The following is a 22,044-nucleotide window of genomic DNA, read 5'->3' as shown; positions in this document are numbered from 1 at the left end:
GCTTTCAGATGTCCTGTTGTCTAGGGTAGCGCTTGGCCACTTGGAGCACTTTCACCAGGGTTTCTGCCGAGGGGTGTTATTTGAGGATGGTGCTCTTCCAGAAGTTGTCTTTTCTATTCTTTGTGCTATTTCCATAGTCCACACCTTCATTATCTGTCTCCTGAACTGTTAAAATAATCTAGTAGTTCATCTCCTTGCCATTAATCAATATTCAAACTTGATATTTTTTTTTTAAATTTTTTTAGACTATGTCTTACTCTGTCACCCAAACTAGAGTGCACTGGCATGACCATAGCTCACTGCAACCTCGAATGCCTGGGCTCAAACGCAGGTCATTTTTTATTCGACTACATTGTAAATACTCTTTCTTCAACTCTACCCTCATCCCTCAAAAGAAAACCTTTACAGGGGCCCATGTTTGCTTTCCTTCAGCTTTTATTTCCCCGGTGCTCTAGTACAAAAATGTCCTCTCCAGCTCTGCCGTCCTCCTTTCCTCCCTTTTTCCTTCCCATCTCTCAGTTGTACCCTTTTTCTATAAGTAGTCCTTTGGCATTTCGTATATAAGAGGTCACAAAGGAATTTGAGATTGGGAAGGGATTTCTTTCTGAAACAGAGTCTCACTCAGTACCCAGGCTGGAGTGCATGGGCATGACTCACTGCATTTTGAGGTAGCTCACTGCAACCTCAAACTTCTGGGCTCAAGGAATCCTCCCACCTCAGCCTCCTGAGTAGCTGGGACTGCAGGCACACAGCATCATGCCCTGCTAATTTTTAAATTTTTTGTAGAGATGAGAACTTGGTATGTTACTCAGGCTGGTCTTGAACTCCTTGGCACAAGCAATCCTCCCACTTCAGCCTCCCAAAGTGCCGAGACCACAGATGTACACCACCATGCCTGGCTAATTTTTCTTTTTCTTTTTCTTTGTAGAGGCAGGGTCTTGCTATTTTTTCCAGGCTGGTCTTGAACTTTTGGACTTAAGCAACCCTCCCACCTCGGCCTTCTAGAGTGCTGGGAAGTTGGGGAGGGATTTCTATACTTGGCTTCTAAGTTCCCCTTAGGGGATATTTTCACCCCCACAGTTACCTTGAGTTCTGTTGTACTATTCCAGCCTTCATTGATGTTTCCTTCTCCGAATTCATACTGCCTTGGTTGTTTTTTTGTTTTTGCTTTTTTGAGAGAGGGTCTCAGTCTGTTGCCCATGCTGGAGTACAGTGGCATGACTATGGCTCACTGAAGTCTCAACCTCTCAGGCTCAAGCAGTCCTCCCACCTCAGCCTCCTGAGTAGCAGGACTACAGATGCATGCCACCAGCCTTGACTAATTAAAAAAAAAAAAATTTTTTTTTTTTTAATTTTTTTTTGTAGAGACAGGGTCTTCCCATGTTGCCTAGACTGGTCGTGAACTCCTCAATGCAAGTGATCCTCCCGCCTCAGCCTCCCAAAGTGCTGGGATTGTAGACATAAGCTGCCGCACCTGGCCTGCCTTGATTTTTAATTTAGTATTTGCTGCTTTGTGTTATTTATCCTCTCTCGTTTTTGAAGACAGGTACCATGTCTCATATCTATTCTTGGTGCCTGCCTTAGCTCCATGTTTAGGGTAGTTACTCAAAGGTGTATTAATCATATTGTCTGTCAAAAGCTGTTACTTATCTTTTGGGCTCTGTATAATTTTATACTTACATGTAGTATTTGTTCTTATTTAACTCCTGATTTGTTAGATGTCTCAAGTGATTCATGTTATACTCAAGTGTCAAGTGGCTTTTTTTGGAAACTATGCTGAAGGTCTAAATATTTCTTAAGCTTGGCCGGGCACGGTGGCTCACGCCTGTAATCCCAGCACTTTGGGAGGCCGAGGTGGGCAGATCACGATGAGGTCAGGAGATGGAGTCCATCCTGGCTAACACGGTAAAACCCCGTCTCTACTAAAAATACAAAAAATTCGCCAGGCGTGGTGGTGGGTGCCTGTAGTCCCAGCTACTCGGGAGGCTGAGGCAGGAGAATGGCATGAACCCGGGAGGTGGAGCTTGCAGTGAGCGGAGATCACGCCACTGCACTCCAGCCTGGGCGACAATGAGACTCCGTCTCAAAAAAAAAAAAAAATTTCTTAAGCTTAATGTTTACAATGAAGTCATATCAAAGAAACACGTTAAAACATTCTTAAACACTGAGGGGCCAGTGTGTAAGGAAGTCTTGCTGTCCATATTCACTGAGACATTTCATTTAATATCTTCCAAACATTCAGTAGGTATCTGGGTCTCTACTTATGTCCCATTCTCTGTGAGAGATGCAGAGATGAATCAGATATGAATCCTGGTCCCAGGGCCCCTATAATCTAGTAGGTAAATAAGATGCCTTTACCATCAAAGCCTACAATTTCAGTACAATCCTTTTTACAATTCACATAAGGTCAAAGTGATTTGGGATTTGAGGAAAGAACAATTACTAAATACAGACCATGTATGAAACTCTGTAGGACACCCATCTGGTGTCCCTGATAGGAGGAAAACTTTGCATATGCACATAAAAATTTAATTTTCCTTCTTCAGTTTTTTATACACAGTATCTGGCCCATAGAATTCTGTATTTGTTGAGTGAATACATGATACAGTATTGCCAGTAGTATATTGCATACCAAATGAGGTATATGGACAAAATTAAAGGAGAGGAGATGACTGTGGACTGCTGTAGTCTCAAGTGAGTTCATGCAGCTTGGAGGGGGTGGGATATAACTAGGCCCTAAGAAATGGATGGGAATTCGTCAGTAACAGGGATGGGAACTCTTCTGTAATGGGTGGCAGGGAGTTGGGGGAGCAGGGGTCATTGGAAAGCATAGCTTGAGCAAAGTCTAGAGTCAAGGAAATGCATATGTTCTTCAGGCAGAAAGATTTCAGGAAATGGAGCAATGAGTGATAATGTAAATATTGCACTGCTGGATTCATGAGAGTTATAAATACCACCGGGCGCGGTGGCTCACGCCTGTAATTCCAGCACTTTGGGAGGCCAAGGCGGGTAGATCACCTGAGGTCAGGAGTTTGAGACCAGCCTGGCCGACATGGTGTACCCCGTGTCTACTAAAAATACAAAAATTAGCTGGGTGTGGTGGCGCCTGCCTGTAATCCCTGCTACTCAGGAGGCTGAGGCAGGAGAATTGCTTGAACCTGGGAGGCAGAGGTTGCAGTGAGCCGAGGCTGTGCCATTGCACTCCAGCCTAGGCAACAAGAACAAAACTCCATCTCAAAAAAAAAAAGAACTTGGACTTTATGTTGTGGCTAATGGGAGCCAACTGAAAGTTTTTCATCAACAGAGTAACATGAACCAGGTGCAGTCTCTCACACCTGTAATCCCAGCACTTTGGGAGGCTGAGGTGGGAGGATTGCTTGAGCCCAGGAGTTCAAGACCAGCCTGGGCAATATAGTGAAACCCTGTCTCTACAAAAAATTAAAAAATTATTCAGGCATGGTGGCATGCAGCTGTAGTCCCAACTACTTGGGGCAGTGAGGTGGGAGGATCGCTTGAGCCTCAGAGGTCAAGGCTACGGTGAGTCATGATCACGCCACCACACTCCAGCTTGGGCAATGGAGCGAGACCCTAAGCTCCAAAAACAAAAAAATAGAGTATCATGACAAAGCAGTTATCAATGTCACAAATCCTCAATAAAGCTGGGGAGCAGGTCAGGTGCAGTGGCTCGTGCCTGTAATCCCAGCACTTTGGGAGGCCGAGGCAGGTGGATCACCTACGGTCAGGAGTTCAAGACCAGCCTGGCCAACCTGGTGAAACCCTGCCTCTACTAAAAATACAGAAATTAGCCAGGCATGGTGGTGGGTGCCTGTAATCCCAGCTACTTGGAAGGCTGAGGTGGAAGAATTGCTGGAACCTGGGAGGTGCAGATTGCAGTGAGCCAAGATGGCACCACTGCACTCAGCCTGGGTGACAGAGCGAGACTCCATCTCAAAAAAAAAAAAAAAAAAGGCCAGGCGCGGTGGCTCACGCCTGTAATCCCAGCACTTTGGGAGGCCGAGGCGGGCGGATCACGAGGTCAGGAGATCAAGACCATCCCGGCTAAAACGGTGAAACCCCGTCTCTACTAAAAATACAAAAAATTAGCCGGGCGTAGTGGCGGGCGCCTGTAGTCCCAGCTACTCGGGAGGCTGAGGCAGGAGAATGGCGTGAACCCGGGAGGCGGAGCTTGCAGTGAGCCGAGATCCCGCCACTGCACTCCAGCCTGGGCCACAGAGCGAGACTCCGTCTCAAAAAAAAAAAAAAAAAAAAAAAGCTGGGAAGTGATTCCAACAAACTTTATCTTTTTTCTTCTTTATATTCACCCCTCTCTTCCTACCCCACTTCAATCCTTCCTTCTATCCATTATTTTGGTCTAGTTGTAGTATAAATACATGTAATAGAGATATAATTGTAACTCTCTTTTAGGTGTAGTCTCTTGCCCTACAAAATTTGGTTTCCTGGCCGTTGTCTTCCATGGAAAATTTAGACATAACAAGAAGTGTCACAAAATCATGATACTGCTATACCATGTGCCTGATTTCAATACCAGGTTGAATGAGATGATGGAACCTTCCTCATGGAATTTGGAGAGATTTATCCCTAGGGGCATTGTAGATTTAATCTAAGGCTGAACTATCAAATGAAACTATTGGCAAAATTAACCCACAGTTCTACTTTTACCTAAATCTATGACTAAAGAAAACTAAGGAGCTCTTAGTTTTTTCCCTGGTCACCTCCTAAGACATGCTATGATGAATAAGAAAATATTTTCTGAAAACTGGTTTGTTGGAAGAATGTGATCAGCTTATTTATTTTTGTTATCTAAGGAATTTAAAAACTGGTCAACTCCTGAAAAAGATGCACATTGATGATTCTTACCAAGCTTCAGTCTGTCACAAAGCCTATTCTGAAATGGTAAGTAATGACTGGCTGGGACCACTTTGTGTGTTACTGTTGGTCTCATTAAGTGAGAGCAGTAAGTCATAAGCAGTAATGAACAAACCTTCCCCGTGGCATCTTTTTTCAAAATTGGATAGCAATGTTTGTCCTTTCTTGAAATTTAGGATGAAAATAAGTGTTGGTACAGTGATTGCTTGGTAAATTTTCTGGCTGTAGGACCTGAGGGCAAATATTTATTTCTAGCTGTGGATTTGAACTGAGAACTATTATGCCTGTTATCAGACTTGACTCCCAGCCACATTGCCATGTTTAAGTAGCCTTAGGAAGGATGATTAAATGATCCAATAATCCCAGAAATACTTTTTTTTTTTTTTGGGATGGAGTTTTGCTCTTGTTGCCCAGGCTGGAGTGCAATGGCGCGATCTCAGCTCACTGCAACCTCTGCCTTCTAGGTTCAATTAATTGTCCTGCCTCAGTCTTCCAAGTAGCTGGGATTACAGGTGCCCGCCACCACACCCGGCTAATTTTTGTATTTTTAGTAGAGATGGGGTTTTGCCATGTTGGCCAGGCTTGTCTCGAACTCCTGACCTCAGGTGATCCACCCGCCTCAGCCTCCCAAAGTGCTGGTATTACAGATGTGAGCCACAGTGCCCAGCTAACATGCTTTACTCTTAGGCTTCAGTCTTCTCACACAGAAATAAATACAGTTACTCAGCTCTTGCACTAATAGTCTTGGCTAGTGGGTACAAACATACAGTTAGAAATAAGCTCCAATATTCAGTAGCAGAGTAGAATGACTGTAGTTAGCAACAATGTGCTATATATTTCAAAGTAGCTAGAAGAAAGGACTTGAAATGTTCCCAATACATAGAAATGATAGATTCTCGAGGTGATGGGTACCCCAAATACCCCGCCTTGATCATTATATACTTTGTGCACATAACAAATACATGTACCCCATAAATATATAAAATATTTTGTATTAATAAAAAAAAAAAAACGCTTTGGGAGGCCAAAGTGGGTGGAACACCTGAGGTAAGGAGTTTGAGACCAGCCTGACCAATATGGTGAAAGCCCACCTCTACTAAAAATACAAAAATTAGGTGGGCGTGGTGGCGCATGCCTGTAATCCCAGCTACTTGGGAGACTGAGGAAAGAGAATTGCTTGAACCCAGGAGGCGGAGGTTGCAGTGAGCCGAGATTGCACGATTGCACTCCAGCCTGGGCGACAGAGCGAGACTCCGTCTCAAAAAACAAAAAGAAAAAAAAAAAGTTTTACCTTGGGCAATGTGGCAAAACCCCATCACTATAAAAAAAGACAAAAATTAGCCAGGCATGGTGGCATGCAGCTGTAGTCCCAGCTACTCAGGAGGCTGAGTTCAGGGGATCCCTGGAGCCCAGGAGGTCGAGGCTGTGGTAAGCCATGATCACACTGCTGTACTCCAGCCTGGGCAACAGAGTGGGAACCTGTCTCAAAAAAAAAAAAAAAAAAAAAGTCTTGGCCTGGCATGGTGGCTCACACCTATAATCCCAGCACTTTGGGAGGCCGATGTGGGTGTATCATGTGAGGTCAGTAGTTCGAGACCAGCCTGGCCAACATGGTAAAACCCCGTCTCTACTAAAACTACAAAAATTAGCCAGATGTCATGTCAGGCACCTGTAATCCCAGCTACTCAGGAGGCTGAGGCAGGAAGAATTGCTTGAACCCAGGAGGTGGAGGTTGCAGTGAGCCGAGATCGTGCCACTGCACCCTGGGTGACAGAGCAAGACTCTGTCTCAAAATAAATAAATAAATAAATAAAAAGCCTTGACTCACAATCTAGTTACAGTGGGAAAGTAGTTGTCTAGGAGTAATGAATAACTACTTGAGTATTCACTGTTGAAGCCATGAGCAGAGACAATGGCAGCAGGCTCAGCATTTGTGTAGAGACTGACTTGCCTGGTGATTACAGTGAGAGGATCAGCATCCAGAGGCTCTGAACACAAAGACCGCATCTTTCCCTAGCCTAGTAGGATCTGTGGAATTGAATTTAAAAGTTGTGTGATGTTATATAATCCAACACATAATCTTGAGCCTAACCTTTGTCCTCCTTTAAATAAGACAGTTGTGGCCAGGTGTAGTGGCACATGCCTGTAATACCAGCTTCTCCAGTGAGAGGATCACTGGAGCCCAGGTGTTCCAGGCTGCAGTGAGCCATGATGGCACCACTGTACTCCAGCCTGGGCGATAGAGTGAGACCCTGTCCCAAAAATAACTAATAGTCCAGGTGCAGTGGCTCACGCCTGTAATCTCAACACTTTGAGAGGCCAAGGCGGGTGGATCACCTGAGGTCGGGAATTCAAGACCAGCCTGGCCAACATGGTGAAACCCTGTCTCTACTAAAAATACAAAATTTACATGGGTGTGGTGTGTGCGCCTGTAGTCCCAACTACTAGGGAAGCTAAGGCAGGAGAATTGCTTGAACCCAGGGGGCAGAGGTTGTAGTGAGCCGAGAGTGTGCCACTGCACTCCAGCCTGAGTGACAAGAGCAAAACTCCATCTCAAAAAAAAATAATAATAATAATAATAACTAGGCTGGGCATGGTGGCTCACGCCTGTAATCCCAGCACTTTGGGAGGCTGAGGCAGGTGGATCACCTGAGGTCAGGAGTTCAAGACCCAGCCTGACCAACATGATGAAACCCTGTCTCTACTAAAAAATACAAAAATTAGCTGGGCATGGTGGCAGGTGCTTATAATCCCAGCTACTCAGGAGGCCGAGGCAGGAGAATCACTTCAACCTGGAGGTGGAGGTTGCAGTGAGCCAAGATCGTGCCATTGCACTCTAGCCTGGGCGACAGAGGAAGACTCTGTCTCAAAACAAAAGAACAACAACAACAACGAATAGATAGATTGATAGATAGATAGATAGATAGATAGATAGATAGATAGATAGATAGACTGACAGTTGAATTCATCTCTAGAATTTACTTTTTTTTTGAGACAAGATTCTTGCTCTGTCACCCAGGCTGGAGTACAGTGGTGTGATGTCGGCTCACTGCAACCTCCGCCTGCCAGGTTCAAGCAATTCTGTGCCTCAGCCTCCCAAGTAGCTGGGATTACAGGTGTGCCTGCCGCCATGCCTGGCTAATTTTTTTGTATCTTTAGTAGAGACGGGGTTTCACCAAGTTGGCCAGGCTGGTCTTGAGCTCCTGACTTTGTGATCCACCCGCCTCACGCTCCCAAAATGCTGGGATTACAGGCGTAAGCCACCATGCCTGGCCTAGAATTTACTTATTAAGCATTTAAATAATGTTATACCTTTTATATTACAACATCAATACCCACTTGATATTAAAACATTTCACACAGACATGTGTAAGATAGTAAGTAAAAGTCCCCCATAAAGCCAATCTTCAGAAATAATATTTAATGCCAGGCGTGGTGGCTCACACCTGTAATCCCAGCACTTTGTGAGGCCGAGGCGGGCAGATCACGAGGTCAGGAGATTGAGACCATCCTGGCCAACATGGTGAAACTCCGTCTCTCCTAAAAATACAAAAATTAGCTGGGCATGGTGGTGCGCACCTGTAGTCCCAGTTAGTTGGGAGGCTGAGGAAGGAGAATTGCTTGAATCCAGGAGGCAGAGGTTGCAGTGAGACGACATCCTGCCACTGCACTCCAGCCTGGCGAAAAAGCAAGTCTCTGTCTCAAAAAAAAAAAAAAAAAAGAAATAACATTGTATTATTTATTTAACTGTTTAGTGCAGGGATTGATAAACTTTTTCCATATATGACCAGACGGCAAATACTTTCAGCTGTGCTGGCCTTACAATCTCTGTTTTACATACTCAACTCTGCCATTGTGGCCCCAAATCAGCCATAGACTGTATGCAAATGGATAGATGTAGCTGTGTTCTAATAAAACTTTATGGAGACTGAAACTTGAACTTCATATGTTAATTTTGGCATGTCACAAAATGTTATTTTTCTGATGTTTTTCAGCCATTTCAAAATCTGAAAAACATTCTTAGTTTATTAGCCATGGAAAAATAAGCACTGGGGCCAGGCATGGTGGCTCACAGCTGTAATTCCAGTGCTTTGGGAGGCCAAGGAGGGAGGATTGCTTGAGGCCAGGAATTCAAGGCTGCAGTGAGCTGATTATGCCACTGCACTCCAGCCTAGGTGACAGTGAGACCCTATCCCCCCAAAAAAAGTGTTGGGTGGCCAGGCGCGGTGGCTCACGCCTGTAATCCCAGCACTTTGGGAGGCTAAGGCGGGCGGATCATGAGGTCAGGAGATCGAGACCATCCTGGCTAACACAGTGAAACCCCGCTCTACTAAAAGTACAAAAAATTAGCCGGGCGTGGTGGCGGGCGCCTGTAGTTCCAGCTACTCGGGAGGCTGAGGCAGGAGAATGGCGTGAACCCAGGAGGCAGAGCTTGCAGTGAGCAGACATCGCACCACTGCACGCCAGCCTGGGCGACAGTGCAAGACTCTGTCTCAAAAAAAAAAATTGTGTTGGGTTAGATTTACCTGGTGGGCCATAGTTTGTCAGCCTCTTCTTAACTGTATAGCATTTAACATTTTTAAATCCTCAGTTTTTTTCCCTTTTAGAGATAGGGTCTCACTCTCTCATTCAGGCTGTAGATCAGTGGCACCATCATAGCTCACTATAGCCTTGAGTTCTTGGGCTCAAGCGATCCTCCCCACTCAGCCTGCCAAGTTGATGGGATTACATGGCATGAGCCACAGCACCCAGCTAAATTTTAATTTAATTTTTTTAGATGATGAGGTCTTCAGCTGTGTTTCCCAGGCTTGTCTCAAGCTATCCTACTGCCTCGGCCTCCTGAGTTACCTCAGTTGTTTTCTAAATATAAAAATATTTTATTTTCATTAATAAATTCAATCATTTGACCTGACGCCGTGGCTCACGCCTATAATCCCGGCCCTTTGGGAGGCTGAGGTGGGTGGATCACAAGGTCAGGAGATCGAGACCATCCTGGTCAACGTGGTGAAACCCTGTCTCTACTAAAAATACAAAAATTAGCCAGGCATGGTGGCGCATACCTGTAATCCCAGCTACTTGGGAGGCTGAGGCAGGAGAATCACTTGAACCTGGGAGGCGGAGGTTGCAGTGAGCTGAGATCGCACCATTGCACTCCAGCCTGGGCAACGAGCGAAACTCCGTCTCAAAAAAAAAAAATCTGTATATATGTGTGTGTGTGTGTGTGTGTGTATATATATACACACATACAGTAATATTATTATTAGAGCCTGTAATTTTAAAGCCAGGAGAGAACTTTAACACATTTTCTCACAGAAACAGCCATAGGTGATGGTATCTTTTTTTGGTCACCCTTATTCATAGAGAGTAGTAGGGTCAGGGTTTTAAATAGGCTATTGTGGGCTGGTCTGAGAAACCAGCCACCATGTACAAGATTGTTTTTATGGGAAAACATGTTCTGAATGTTCAAAAACCAATTTACAAATGAATATTTCTAATTTGAGCACTCCCTGCACATGTGTGTCCTCATTCTCTCTTTGCCAATATTTCCCCAAATGAATGGCATGAAATGTAGTACTATCTAAGGGGAAGGAAATGGATGAATCAGATTCATGCCTGGCAAGACTGGCTAAAACAAACACTGGGAACCGGAAGCAGGAGAAGCTAAAGCTAGAAGTTGGCTGAGCGCGGTGGCTGACGTCTGTAATCCCAACACTTTGGGAGGCTGAGGTGGGAGGATCCCTTGAGGCCAGGTGTTCAACAACAGCCTGGGTAACACAGGAAGGCCTTGTCTCTAAAAAAAAAAAGAAGAAGAACAAGAAGCCAGAAGTCCAGTCCAGTAATAATCTCAACAGTTCCTAGACGGCAGGGAAAAAAATCAAGCCAGTGGTTAAATCCTGGATACTTCAGAGCCTATCGGTCATTGCTTTAATTGTTTGGTTTTTGTCTCTGCCAGATCTTTATTTTTCCTGACATACTCTTGACAGTCTATTTGGGATATTTATTTTTCTCCGAAATTAGGGGCTTCTCTTTATTGTCCTGAGTCATCCCTGTGCCAAAGAGAGTGAGTCGTTGCGAAGCCCTGTGTTTCAGCTCATTGTGATTAACCCTAAGACGACTCTCAGCGTGGGTGTGATGCTGTACTGTCTTCCTCCAGGGCAGGCTGGCAGGCAAGTGTGCATAACTGCTACTCTATGGGTGGGACATTCTGAAAGGCACTGTGCAAACACAAAAACTAGATATTTTTGTGTCACTTAGAAGAATGGAAAACATGAAATACTATATATCATGATAGGAATATTCAGAAGTAGGATGAAGATTAGTGGACTTGAGTCAAACCCCAGATTCCCTGCATCCTGATCTCTACTAGTATGGGGTTATATAGGTTTTTAATAGTGTTTATTCAAGCCCTGTTTTTTCCCCTAAGGTAAATATTTTGGCAGCACATGGTGGATCATGCCTGTAATCCCAGCACTTTGGGAGGTCAAGGTGGGAGGAGAGCTTGAGCCCAGGAGTTTGAGACCAACTTGGACAACAGAGCAAGACCCAGTCTCTACCAAAAAAAATATATATATATATTAGCCAAACATGCTGGCATGCATCTGTACTTCCAGCTACTCGGGAGGCTGAGGTGGGAGGATGGCTTGAACCTGGGAGGTGGAGGCTGCAGTGAGCTGAAATCATACCACTTCACTCAAGCCTGGCAACAGAGCAAGACCCTGTCTCAAAAAAAAAAAAAAAAAAATTCACATAAAGAGTAATGAACGTTCTGTATTTAAAAAACATAATTTGTGTTCTTTCCCTAAACCTAAATTAAGGAAAATTTAAGGTACTTTAGGAAGACATCTTTACTTTGAAATCTGACTGAGTTTGACTGAGCCTCTATCATGCAGGCAGTTTATATTTATCTATAGATAAGTATTTATCTGGCCAGGCAGTGGCTCACGCCTATAATCCCAGCAATTGGGAGGCTGAGGCAGGTGCATCATGAGGTCAGGAGTTCACCAGCCTGGCCAAGATGGTGAAACCCCATCTCTACTAAAAATACAAAAATTAGCTGGGCACGGTGGCAGGCACCTATAATCCCAGCTACTCGGGAGGCTGGGGTCACTTGAACCTGGGAGGCAGAGGTTGCAGTGAGCCGAGATCGTGCCACTGCACTCTAGCCTGGGAGACAGAGCGAGACTCCGTCTCAAAAAAAAAAAAAAAAAAGCAGGGTGCAGTGGCTCACGCCTGTAATCCCAGCACTTTGGGAGGCCGAGGCAGGCGGATCATGAGGTCAGGAGTTCGAGACCAGCCTGACCAACACGGTGAAACCCCGTCTCTACTAACATACAAAAATTAGCTGGGCATGGTAGTGCGTGCCTGTAATCCCAGCTACTCAGGAGGCTGAGGCAGGATAATCGCTTGAACCCGGGAGGGAGAGGTTGCAGTGAGCCGAGATTGTACCACTGCACTGCAGCCTGGGCTGAAGTGAATCAAGAAAACAAGGTCTGACTTTAATAACTCACAAGGATAATGCACACAGTTACAATACATGTTTTTTTGGACCTTATGCAAAGTTTATTTGATAAGTGCATGTTCTAAAAGACATTCTCTATCCCTATGCACTTAGCTAGCTGTGACACTTCTGCAGGGTCTTGCTTTGTTGCCCAGGCTGGAGTGCAGTGGCACGATCTCAGCTCACTGCAACTCTGCCTCCCGGGTTCACACCATCTTCCCATCTCAGCTTCCCAAGTAGCTGGGACTACAGGTACATGCCACCACGCTTGGCTAATTTTTTTTTTTTTTAAGAACCTAAGAACCTCAGAACTATCATCTGCAGTATGTGCTTTCATATAAAACTTGCTTCCTTGGATTTGAAGAGAGAACGATAGTCGTTGGCCCTAGAGATTAAAGATAAAGATAACTGCTTGGTCAAGCATTTCCTTTGTCACTTTTCAAACTCATCTGTTCAGGAATCCTTGAAAGCCTGTTTGGTACCAATCCTGTAGGAAGCATATCTTAGTTCTATTAGGCTGCTACAACAAAATACCACAGACTGGGTAGCCTTTAAACAACAAAGTGTATTTCTTACCATTCTTTTGGCTGGGAAGTCCAAGATCAAGGTGCTGGCGGATTCACTGTCTGGTGAGAGCCCATTTCCTGGCTCATAGATGTGTCCTCACATGGTAGAAGGCAGCTTTCTGGGGCCTGTTTTACAAAACCACCAATCACTTCTCAAAAGCCCCACCTCCTAATACCATCACATTGGTGATTAGGTTTCAACAGATTAATCTTGGGAGGACACAAGCATTCAGACCATAGCAAAACACTGCTATTTCTGGCCGGGCGCGGTGGCTCATGCCTGTAATCCCAGCACTTTGGGAAGCCGAGGCGGGCAGATCACTTGAGGTCAGGAGTTCGCGACCAGCCTGGCCAACATGGTGAAACCCTGTCTCCACTAAAAATACAAAAATGAGCTGGGTGCGATGGTGTGCACCAGTAATCCCAGCTATTGGGGAGGCTGAGACAGGAGAGTCACTTGAAACTGGGAGGCAGAGGTTGCAGTGAGCTGAGATCTCGCCATTGCACTTCAGCCTGGGTGACAGAGCAAGGCTCTGTCTCAAAAACAAACAAACAAACAAACCACTTATTTCTAATTTTATGGAAATTAGAAGGGAAAACTAGTGACTGTTGTTCAGTGCACAAAATACAATACATGAAGCTTGCACTGTTTGAGAGCACAAGAGTGGAGAGGTGGGCACCTTAATTGGCAGTAGAGGGTTGGGGAGAGACTGTCAAAGAAAACCTTAGGGAGTTTCCAAAGATAAGTTAGGAGTTAGGTACGCAAAGTTGGGTGGGAACCAGGGATAAAAAGTATCATGCAGTTCATTCATATAATACTCTTTGGAGAGCTGGCCATGCCTCAGGCACCAGTGATACAGCAGTGAATAATAATAATAGCTAATTTTTTTTTTGAGACGGAGTTTCTCTCTGTTGCCCAGGCTGGAGTGCAGTGGCATGATCTCAGCTCACTGCAACCTCTGCCTCCCAGGTTCAAGCGATCCTCTTGCCTCAGCCCCCCTAGTAGCTGGGATTACAGGCACGTGCCACCATGCCCAGCTAATTTTTGTATTTTTAGTAGAGACGGGGTTTCACCATGTTGGCCAGGCTAGTCGTGAACTCCTTACCTCAGGTGATCTGCCTGCCTTGGCCTCCCAAAGTTCTGGGATTACCGGCGTGAGCCACCAGGCCTGGCCACAATAACAGCTAATTTTTTTTTTTGGAGACAGGGTCTCACTTTATCGCCCAGGTTGGAGTGCAGTGGCACGATCTTGGCTCACTGCAACCTCCACCTCCCATGTTCAAGCAATTCTTGTGCTTCAGCCTCCCGAGTAGCTGGGATTACAGGCATGTGCCACCACGCCTGGCTAATTTTGTATTTTTAGTAGAGACCGGGTTTCTCCATGTTGGCCAGGCTGGTCTCAAACTCCCAACCTCAGGTGATCCACCCGCCTTGGCCTCCCAAAGTGCTGGGATTACAGGCGTGAGCCACCACACCCGGCTAATAATAGCTAATTTTTATTGAGCACCTCCTGTGTGCCAGGCACTGCGCTAAGCCTTTTATAGGAACTGTTTCATTTAACCTCACCACAGTCCTGTCAAGTATGTGCTCTTAAAATCATCCCTATTGTACTGATAAAGTTAAATAATTTGCCCAGGGTTGCACAGCTCTTACTTTGTAGAGTTAGAATTTAAACCCAGGTAGCTGACTGCAGAGCCCTTGTCTAAATGAAAAAGGCAACCAGGTAGGTTTCTGCTTCATAGATGGCATCTTTTGTGGGGGAAATTCCCACTGAATATGGAAACAGGGTAATCTCAAATAGTGAAAAGTGCAATGAAGATAAAAACATATATGTCATAAAGATGGAACAGATCCCGTATGTGTGTGCACACTGCCTGAGATAGAGGATTAGGGGTGACCTTTCTATGGACATAACAGGCCTGAATGATGACAAGAACTCAGCCATGCTAAGAGCTGGGGTGAGAGCCTGTCAGGGAGAAAGAATGGCAAGAGCAGTGACACTGAGTTGGGACTGAGTTTGGCCAGAGTGATGGAGAGTGGAAGGAAGGCCACTGTGCGCCAGCCTTCAATTGCTACAAGATGCATCAGAGAGATTGGCAGGAACTGGACATGTGATTCTGTCCAAAACTGCAACACAATAGCCAACAGACCTCTAAGGCTACAAATGTAGGCATTCATAGTTACAGGGATTTTTGTTCCTGTTGCTGGTTTTGGGAACATGGTTTTGACCTTTTTTTTTTTTTTAATTGTTTTTTGGATATGTAATCTGAATTATATCTTCTTTGTATGCTATCAGGTTCCTGGAAGGTGACGTGAAAGATCACTGTGCAGCAGCAATCTTGACTTCTGGAACAATTGCCATTTGGGACTTACTTCTCGGTCAGTGTACTGCCCTCCTCCCACCTGTCTCTGACCAACATTGGTCTTTTGTGAAATGGTCGGGTACAGACTCTCATTTGCTGGCTGGACAAAAAGATGGAAATATATTTGTATACCACTATTCATAAGTTAGGGTAAAGTGAAAACACAATTTTCTGGATATATTGGGCCTCTTAGTATTTTTTGGAGTTTTAAATATAAAGGAGAATATCTGAATGACACTTAAAATGATTGCTTGTTTATGTCCAGACAGACTTATTTTTTATTCTAATGATGGTAGCACCACTGATCTTGGATGTACATTTATGTATACTTTGAGAAAAAGGGTTTTAGGTTGATTTTTGTAATTTCCCACATTTGTACATGTGCTTTTAAAGGTGTACATAAAGCTTCAAATGGCAATAAATATTTATTTTTATACATTCTGCTTGGCATGTTATTGTTTCCCATTCTTTCAAGATCATTTGCAGAAGCAAGAACTAATTATTATACAACCAGGATATTTAATCAATAGTCTTTGCCTAGTAAGTGTAAATTTCAGTTCAGTTAACTTACTACACTAATATGCAATATACTTTTTGTGCTATTTGTAATACTTTATTTTTACATACATACTAAAATAAAATGAAACCTACTAAAATATCCTAATTTAGGGATACTCTTACTCTTTTTCATTCTCATGCATCTTTCATGCCAGTGCTGCATTATCACTAGAGTCACCTTTTTTTGAGATGGAGCCTCACTGGTCACCCAGGCGGGAGTGCAGTGGCATGATCTCGGCTCATTGCAACCTCTGCCTCCCAGGTTAAGTGATTCCCCTGCTTCAGCCTCTCAAGTAGCTGGGATTACAGGCACCCACCACCACACCTGGCTAATTTTTGTATTTTAATAGAGATGGGGGTCTCACCATGTTGGTCAGGCAGGCCTTGAACTCCTGACCTCAAGTGATCCACCTGCTTTGACCTCCCAAAGTGCTGGGATTACAGGCATGAACCACTGCCGCTCTTTTTTTTCTTGGTTTTTTGTTTTTTGTTTTTTTTTTAGAACGGAGTCTCCCTCTATCACCCAGGCTAGAGTGCAGTGGGGTGATCTGGGCTCACTGCAACCTCCGCCTCCCAGGTTCAAGTGATTCTCATGCCTCAGCCTCCTGAGTAGCTGGGATTACAGGCATGCTCTACTATACCCGGCTAATTTTTATATTGTTTGTAGAGACAGGGTTTCACTGTGTTGGCCAGGCTAGTCTGGAACTCCTGACCTTAGGTGATCTGCCTACGTCGGCCTCCCAAAGTACTGGGATTACAGGGATGAGCTACCGTGCCCAGCCAAAGAAGATTATATTTTTTAAAGACAAATTTTTGGGCCGGGCGCAGTGGATCACGCCTGTAATCCCAGCACTTTGGGAGGCCAAGGTGGGCAGATCACTAGGTAAGGAGATCAAGACCATCCTGGCTAACACAGTGAAACCCCATCTCTACTAAAAATACACAAAATTAGCCGCGCATGGTGGCACACGCCTGTAGTCCCAGCTACTCGGGAGGCTGAGGCAGGAGAATCACTTGAACCCGGGAGGCGGAGGTTGCAGTGAGCTGAGATCACACCACTGCGTTCCAGCCTGGACAGAGCAAGACTCTGTCTCAGAAAAAAAAAAAAGACACATTTTTGGCCAGGTGCAGTGCTATAATCCCAGCACTTTGGGAAGCTGAGGCGGGTGGATCATAAGAGGTGGGTGGATCACACACACAAAAAAAGATACATTTTTATCATACTGTAGTTTTTGCTCATTTACAAATTCTGGTATTTTTTTAATTTTCTTTTTCAAAGGATGTCTATTATATTTTCTTTGAGACAGTCTCACTCTGTTGCACAGGCTGGAGTACAGTGGTATCACAGCTCACTGCAGTCTCAACTTCCCCACACTCAGGCGATCCTCCAACCTCAGCCTCCCCAGTAGCTAGGACTAAGGTATGGGCTACCATATCCAGCTAATTAAAAAAAAATTTTTTGTGAGACAGAGTCTCACCATGTTGCCCAGGCTGGTCTCGAACTCCTGGGCTCAAGCCATCTACCCACTGTGGCATCCCCTCCCAAAATGCTAAGATTACAGGTGTAAGCCTCCACACCCAGCCTCTTTTACAAATTCTATACCCACAATTTTTAACCTCAAATTATTTGCTAGTGTATCATAGATACTGGAGAACTTTTTGTAAAGATTTAATTTACTCATGAACCTTGAGAAACCTGTATTATTATCTTGATAATAACAAGAGTCAACAAAACTAAGGCACAAAGTAATTCTAGTCAGTAATGGTTGCACAAACTGAGCATCTGCTTGACACAGTAGGTATGTAAATCATTGCTGTGAGACCTCTGCCATTGAGAAGTACACAGTCTAGTGGGAGAGACTGTCGCATAAAGCAGTCAGGACTGTACTTTAAATTTAAGGGGTATGTTTCAGACCCGGCACGGTGGCACACACCTATAATCCCAGCACTTTGGAGGCCGAGGTGGGCAGATCATTTGAGGTTAGGAGTTCGAGACCGGCCTGGCCAACATGGTGAAACATTGTCTCTTAAATACAAAAAGTAGCTGGGTGTGGTAGCACACACCTGTAATCCCAGCTACTCGAGAGACTGAGGCAGGAGAATCGCTTGAACCTGGGAGGCAGACATTGCAGTGAGCAGAGATTGCACCACTGCACTCCAGCCTGGGCAACAGAGCGAGACTCTAATTAAAAAAAAAGGAAGCTAAAAAAAAAAAAATTTAAGGGATATGTTCCAGGTGCTATTATGGAAGCTCAAGGCTGAGCAGTTTGGACAACCCAGGAGTCCCAGAAAAACTTCATGGGAGATGGCAATTTAGCTGAGCCTTGCGGGATAAGTAGGTCAAAGCAGAAGCAACGGATATTCTGGGCAGAAAGGACAGCCTGGCCAAAATGGTGAAACCCAGTCTCTACTAAAAATACAAAAATTAGCCGGGAGTGGTGGCAGGCGCCTATAGTCTCAGCTACTCGGGAGGTTGAGGCAGAGAATCGCTTGAACCCAGGAGGCAGAGGTTGCAGTGAGCCAAGATCGCACCATTGCACTCCAGCCTGGGCGACAGAGCGAGACTCTGTCTCAAACAATGACAAAAAGAAAAAGTGTAACTGTAGGGGTGGGTTGCCCCTCCACACCTGTGGGTGTTTCTCGTAAGGTGGAATGAGAGACTTAGGAAAGAAAAAGACACAGAGACAAAGTATAGAGAAAGAAATAAGGGGACCCGGGGAACCAGCGTTCAGCATATGGAGGATCCCGCCAGCCTCTGAGTTCCCTTAGTATTTATTTATCATTCATGGGTGTTTCTCGAAGAGGGGGATGTGTCAGGGTCACAAGACAATTGTGGGGAGAGGGTCAGCAGACAAACACGTGAACAAAGGTCTTTGCATCATAGACAATGTAAAGGATTAAGTGCTGTGCTTTTAGATATGCATACACATAAACATCTCAATGCTTTACAAAGCAGTATTGCTGCCCGCAGGTCCCACCTCCAGCCCTAAGGCGGTTTTTCCCTATCTCAGTAGATGGAGCATACAATCGGGTTTTATACCGAGACATTCCATTGCCCAGGGACAGGCAGGAGACAGATGCCTTCCTCTTGTCTCAACTGCAAGAGGCATTCCTTCCTCTTTTACTAATCCTCCTCAGCACAGACCCTTTACGGGTGTCGGGCTGGGGGACGGTCAGGTCTTTCCCTTCCCACGAGGCCATATTTCAGACTATCACATGGGGAGAAACCTTGGACAATACCTGGCTTTCCTAGGCAGAGGTCCCTGTGGCCTTCCGCAGTTTTTGTGTCCCTGGGTACTTGAGATTAGGGAGTAGTGATGACTCTTAAGGAGCATGCTGCCTTCAAGCATCTGTTTAACAAAGCACATCTTGCACCGCCCTTAATCCATTCAACTCTGAGTTGACACAGCACATGTTTCAGAGAGCACGGGGTTGGGGGTAAGGTCACAGAATCTCAAGGCAGAAGAATTTTTCTTAGTACATAACAAAATGGAGTCTCCTATGTCTACTTCTTTCTACACAGACACAGTAACAATCTGATCTCTCTTGCTTTTCCCCACATGTAACAGCTTGTCTATGAAAGGTAGGAGGAATGGTATTAGAGATCTATAAAGGGTCAGCGGAGGGTCCTCTTACTTTGTTTTTAGGCTAAGAGGAACTTTGATGTGTTTATGGGTTCAGGAGAAAGAGCCAGAAGAGAGACCTTTGAGATGTAGGGAAGAAGAGCTAACTGGTGGTATAAGGTCCCATTGGGAATAAGAGGGGATGAGACTACCGTGCAAATGGGCTGGCAGAGGGAGCGATCATGGTGGGTTGGTGGGATAGTTTGTGCTGGGAAGCTGACAGCTTTTATGCTTATCCATCCTTTGATGGGAATGTTACTGAAAAGCACCGGTGTTGTCTTTTAACTCTTCCTCATCTGCTAAGGATGTGATCTTAATATTGGGACTTTTACCCTACAGGCCATGTAGGCTGATATTTTGTCTTTATTTGTTTGCTGAAGGGAAAAGTAGCTCTCCCAAATTATTTAAATAAGAGATGATTTGTTATGTTTTACCAAAAGGATTAAATGTAACACTGAGGCCGGGTGCAGTGGCTCACGCCTGTAATCCCAGCACTTTGGGAGGCCGAGGCGGGCAGATCATGAGGTCAGGAGTTTGAGACCACCCTGGCTAACACGGTGAAACCCCATCTCTATAAATACATACATACATACATATATACATACATACGTGTAACACTGAAAGACTAGATAGGTCATGGGAAGAGATGGCCCCAATTGTGAACTTAGTAGGATTAGGTTCTTCCTAAGCTAAGAGCTACATTTTTTTGGGAAACAGAGTCTCACTCTGTTGCCCAGGCTGGAGTGTAGTGGTGTGATCATAGCTCACTGCAGCCTTGACCTCCTGGGCTCAATTGGTCCTCCCACCTCAGCTTCCCAAGCAGCTGGGACCACAGACATGCATCACCATGCCTGGCTAATTTTTTAAATTTTTTATGGAGACAAGGTCTCCCTGTGTTGCCTAGGTTGATCTCAAACTCCTGGGCTCAAGCGATCCACCTCCCTTGGCCTCCCAAAGTGCTGGGATTACGGAGGTGAGCCACTGAACCAGGCTTGCCTGTCTGGCTTGCTCACAGTTGCAGCCTCAACAATTAGTACGTAACAGATACTCAATTTTTTTTTGAGACTTTTTTGAGATGGAGCTTCACTCTTGTTGCCCAGGCTAGAGTGCAATGGCGCGATCTCAGCTCCCTGCAACCTCTACCTCCCGGGTTCAAGCAATTCTCCTGTCTCAGCTTCCTGCCTCCTGAGTAGCTGGGATTACAGTCACCTGCCACCACACCCAGCTAATTTTTGTATTTTTAGTAGAGACGGGGTTTCACCATGTTGTCCAGGTTGGTCTCAAACTCCTGACATCAGGTGATCCACCTGCCTCAGCCTCCCAAAATGCTGGGATTACAGGTTTGACCCACCATGCCTGGCCCCCAGACACTCGAGTTTTAAAGGAATGCTATAATAAATAGAAATTATTTTACAACAGTGGGATGAAACTATGTTTTTTTTGTTTTCGTTTTTTTTTTTTGAGATGGAGTCTTGCTCTTTTGCCAGCCTGGAGTGCAGTGGCGCAATCTCGGCTCACTGCAACCTCTGCCTCCCAAGTTCAAGCGATTCTCCTGCCTCAGCCTCCTGAGTATCTGGGACTACAGGCGCGCACCACCACACCCAACTAATTTTTGTATTTTTAGTAGAAATGGGGTTTCACCATGTTGACCAGGATTGTCTCGATCTCTTGACCTCGTGATCCACCCACCTTGGCCTCCCAAAGTGCTGGGATTACAGGTATGAGCCACCGCGCCTGGCAGCATACCATTACATTTTATTTTACTTGGATTTAACAAAAATAAAAAGAAATTGAGGTAAAACTGGTGACATTATTGGATCATTCATTCAGGCAGATTTCAGAATTTGGAGTCATTATCCCGTGTGTTTCCATTTCAGTCAATATCCTTTAGCTCCCTGCTTAGAAATAGGAATTAGCCTTCTTAAACTCCTCCCTCGCTTACCTATTTTTGTTAGCTATTGTAAGGAACATGGCTGTGCTTTGGTCAAGGATAGGCCAAGGTAAGATGTTTACATCCTGCGTGACTCAGCAAGTTTAGACAGAGGCGTATAACTCCACTTGTTATCACAGCCATGTAGGCATAACATGGGAAGGTCATCACTTGGCTCTAAGCCACTATTTTCTGTAAAAGGTATAATTGCCCTGCTGATACTGTACAGGCGTTCGTGCCCAGAGAAAGAGAGAGCCAGAGCTGTCAGTCTTTGCAGACAGACAGGGGGAGCCAGATCACAGCTGAGAGAGAGTTAAGCTGCTGACCCTGAAGGCAAGGGAGAGCCAGCCTCGCAGTTGTGTGGGGGAGCCATGGGACTAAGCAGCTGAGACAAGGCAGACAGTGTGAGAGAACTAGTGTAAGTAAGCTGCTGATGAGAGCTGCTGCTGAATAAAATCATCTTTCACCTGCCTACCGTCCCCTGAGTGTTCTTTCAGCTATCTGTTCATCCACCCACTCCCCTCAGACCTCGATATGGGCTGGAACCTGGCTGTGGGCATGACAGTTGGCATAGTCGTGGACCTGACAGCTATATTATACACTGTCAAGTTTTAAAAC

The 22,044-nt window shown here is 45.1% G+C and overlaps 1 protein-coding gene across 19 annotated transcripts in view; it reads left to right on the top strand.

The window, feature by feature from the left end:
• Positions 1–15,753, top strand: part of PALB2 (partner and localizer of BRCA2) — a 38,146-nt gene extending 22,393 nt beyond the window's left edge. For 11 of the 19 annotated variants that reach the window (NM_001407306.1, NM_001407314.1, NM_001407312.1 and 8 more), the window contains 3 exons: positions 4,827–4,914; positions 10,906–11,054; positions 15,249–15,753. In NM_001407306.1, coding sequence (NP_001394235.1) covers positions 4,827–4,914; positions 10,906–11,054; positions 15,249–15,459 — 448 coding nt within the window. In that variant the 3' untranslated portion in view covers positions 15,460–15,753. The remainder of the gene's footprint in view (positions 1–4,826; positions 4,915–10,905; positions 11,055–15,248) is intronic. The other 8 variants (NM_001407313.1, NM_001407302.1, NM_001407301.1 and 5 more) reach the window with 2 other exon arrangements.

This window comes from Homo sapiens, chromosome 16, assembly GCF_000001405.40.
Source record: "Homo sapiens chromosome 16, GRCh38.p14 Primary Assembly".
NCBI lineage: Eukaryota > Metazoa > Chordata > Mammalia > Primates > Hominidae > Homo > Homo sapiens.
Note: the sequence above shows the minus strand (reverse complement) of the source record. Positions and strands in the feature narration are given on the sequence as shown.